At 45.4% G+C, this 3,693-nt stretch overlaps 1 pseudogene, besides 1 other annotated feature; it reads left to right on the forward strand.

The window, feature by feature from the left end:
* Window positions 2,096–2,145: an enhancer, noted in NCBI's record as "active region_2922". NCBI's record gives its function as "activates an Ori minimal core promoter by ATAC-STARR-seq in GM12878 lymphoblastoid cells {active_cell/tissue: GM12878}" and the evidence as "EXISTENCE:reporter gene assay evidence [ECO:0000049][PMID:35858748]".
* Window positions 2,477–2,582, forward strand: RNU6-163P (RNA, U6 small nuclear 163, pseudogene; annotated as a pseudogene).

Consider the following 3,693-nt stretch of genomic DNA (forward strand, 5'->3'; position numbering starts at 1 on the left):
TTAGAATCTTTACTTTGAGAAGATTTGGAATGACAATAGCTGTCATTCTCTCTTACTTTTAAGTATAGTTTTATGCATGATCTATAGATCTTAAAAAAATTCAAGAAGTTTTAAAATCCATAATTTATGTCTCAATTCTTACTCTATATATTCTTATATCAGCAGCCCTGGTATACCATAACATCTTTGACAAACCCTGGGTTCTGTTCACCTTATAAGGCATCTTCTCCAATGGAATGCAGCCAGCCCTGTGTATTTCATCAACCTTCAAAGATCAGTTCTGTTTCAGTGCAGGATGACTGTGTTTTGGCAAGAAGCAACGAAGTCTTGAGTGTGTGGAGGATTTAAAAATCAATCTAATCTTTCATAACAGCACCAATGGCCCTTTTAGTTTTAATGTCCCCAAATAATAAAGGATGGTTGTTGAACTGGATATAGCAGGCTTAGCAGATTGTTTTTCTAATTGGTGTTTTTTTCATCTTAACTTCAACCTTGGCATTTTCCTTCTGGATTTGAACACAGCATTTCCTCAAGTGGGCGCCAGAGGAACTTGAGAACCCCAGCCTTTGTGCACGGCTGTGCAACCTGGACTTTGTCGAGACAGGAGTGCATTACCATGACATTTAAGGAGGAGAACAAGCTGCTCTGAATTGTGTCAATCTCACTTGTGATCTATTTTTGAACAATGTACTAGAAAGATATTCCCGTTCACACAGAACTAGTGATTTACCCTCTGGTGGATTCTACCCCTCCAGCTACTTGGCGATAAATAAAGCCAGAGTGGAGAGAGAGTGTAAATAAAAATTAACTGTACCCAATTGGCTCCCCAATGCTTTCATTTATGCATGCTTGTTTGATGAGGTACTTTTCTATTTTTTTTTTTTTTTTGAGATGGAGTCTCACTCTGTCTCCCAGGCTGGAGTGCAGTGGTGCAATCTCGGCTCACTGCAAGCTCCGCCTCCCGGGTTCACGCCATTCTCCTGCCTCGGCCTCCCGAGTAGCTGGGACTACAGGCACCCGCCACCACGCCTGGCTAATTTTTTGTATTTTTTAATAGAGACGGAGTTTCACCGTGTTAGCCAGGATGGTCTCGGTCTCTTGACCTCGTGATCCACCCGCCTCGGCCTCCCAAAGTGCTGGGATTACAGGCGTGAGCCACCGCGCCTGACCTTGATGAGGTACTTTTCAAGTCTTCTTAATTGCCATATAAAATAAGGCCTCTGGTAATCAAAAGCCCTAAAAAAAATGTTGGGGGGGGGTTGTCCACCTTGGTTGGGGAGGGTTGTCCACCTTGGTTGGAGGGGGTTGTCCACCTTGGTTGTGGGGGGGTTGTCCACCTTGGTTGTGGGGGTTGTCCACTTTGGTTGTCTTCAAATTTTCCTTGTTGGTTTTTCACTTTCCAACTTCATTGCCATTTCAGTAACTCCTGGGGGTATATGGCACCCCGCAAACCTGGCGCTGCCATGGCCGGACAGAGAATCCAGGAGCTCTGATCCTCCCACCAATACCTACTGTGGTGTGGAAACTCTCCTGTCTCTTTTACTGAGCCAAGATAATGTTAGACAGCCTTCAAAGAAGTGCTTTAACAATTAAGAGAGCGAAAGAAATATATGTATAGAAAGAGAAAGAAACAGAGACAGACAAGCAGATACACACACACACAGAGGGAAAGAGAGAAAGCTGGAGGGGAGAGAATAGATAGGAAGAAATATAGAGAGATATATAAAGAGACAGAGAAATGGAGAGAGACAGATACATACAGAGAGAGATAGCAAGAGGGAATAGAAAGGGAGAAATGGAGAGAGAGGAATAGAGAGACAGAAAAATAGAGAGCAACAGATAGGGAGAGAAAAGCAAAATAGAACAGCAGTGCAGTAACACAGTATAAATTCCTAAAACAGTGTGTAGCCACACATTTATTTGGTCATCACTATGTACTGGTTTTTGGACGTCTGTCTCTTTATTCCCTTTGTCCTGAGTGGCTTGCTGTGGACATAGTCTCTATCTGGTTCTTGGGCTAGTGGTACTCTCTCTCAGGGAAACAGTGGCTCCACCCCTCGGCTCTACGTGAGTCTAGGGACTTCGGGCCTGGAAGTTGGAGACCTTCCTTCGTTTCACAAAATCTGCACCACATCAGGTTTCTCCTGCCACTAAAAGCAGAAAACAGCTCTTCCTTTTTCTGCGTCCGTGGGCGGTAACTGGCTGCCCTTTCAGTTCCCGTTTCCCGTCTAGGACGTCCTAATTTTGAACAGAACAAACAGCACTTGCAACACCCAACCCATCAGGAAATCCCGTTGTCTCTGCCTTTGGAAGATCCAGAACCTCATGGATTGTTACCATTTCCCAGCTACTCACCATTGCAGCTGGAAACACCGTCCTCTGTCACTGGATTCCCACGCGCACCCGCCAGCTCCCCTGCTCCAGAGCCTGGCTCCTTCCGCAGCAGCGAGAGGGTCCCCACGCAAGCCAGCCTCAGGTGCTCACTTCAGCAGCACATCTGCTAAAACTGGAACATACAGAGAAGAGGAACCTGGCCCCTGTGTAAACATGACATGGAAATTCATGGGACATTCCATATTTTTATGAATATACTAAAAGCCGCTGAATTGTAGGCATTGAAAATAATACATTTTATGGCATGTGAATTATATCTCAATTCAGCTACTGTAAACTAAATAAACAAAAGTAAACCATGCCCATCCTCCGCTCAAAGCCCTGCAATGGTTATTTCATTCAAAGTAAAGTCTATGTTCTTAAAAAAGCCAAAAAGCTTCCTGTGATCTAACATCTCCCATTCCCATCATTTACAATCTGATTCTTTCTCTAGTTATTTTTCCCCTTACTTCAGGCGGATGCCAATTTGCACTGTTCCAGGAATGTGCCAGGTACCTCGCCCCCCTAGCTGTCCCTTGTTAAGAACCCCTGCAAAGACAGGGTGGACTCGCGGCCCCCAAATTTGGTTCAATGTTGAGATCAATGATGCCACACACACACACACACACACACCAAGACAGTATAACAAGGTGTATTTACATAATGGCAGAACAGGGCAAACCTCTTAAGCAGGTCTCAAACAGTGTGAAAGAGCAAGGAAAGGTGCATAGCTGGGGGTTTTACTGTGGTGAGCAGGGGGTTGGGGTTGGGTAAAGGTGCCCAGATTGAGGGCTTGCGTGATCTGAATCTCCTGCCAGTGTCCAAGTGGGAGCACTTGAGCTTTCTTCTCAGCTTGTCCAGATGTGGGACAAGCTGAAGAGAGGCCCAGGACAAACATTTGGCCAGTGAGGCTTAAATGTTTTCAAGCAGCAGAAACTGGAGTCAGCCTCTTTATCACACAGCTATTTAATAAAACCTCGGGAGCTCAGTAAGACCTATCCTGAGCACACCCTGCAAAATCCTCCTTCATACCTCATCGGCTTCTCCCCCATCTGTGTTCTTGGCTCGGGGTTGTCTTTTTCACACATCGCTGGCCACCTTCTAATGTGCCCTGTCATTTTCCTAAAATATTCAGAACTTGTTATCAGGGTTCCCCTGGGTCCTCTCCTGACCTGCTAAAAATGAACTGCTTGAGGGCAGAGGTCTTCCATCCAAATGCAGATGAATTCCGAGTGCCTGCAGCAGACCTGGCACCAAGCAGATGCTCCATACGTACATGTTGAGTGAGTGAATTCAGGTGCTTAAGAAGCACTCAGCATC

This window comes from Homo sapiens, chromosome 10 (assembly GCF_000001405.40).
Source record: "Homo sapiens chromosome 10, GRCh38.p14 Primary Assembly".
Taxonomy (NCBI): domain Eukaryota; kingdom Metazoa; phylum Chordata; class Mammalia; order Primates; family Hominidae; genus Homo; species Homo sapiens.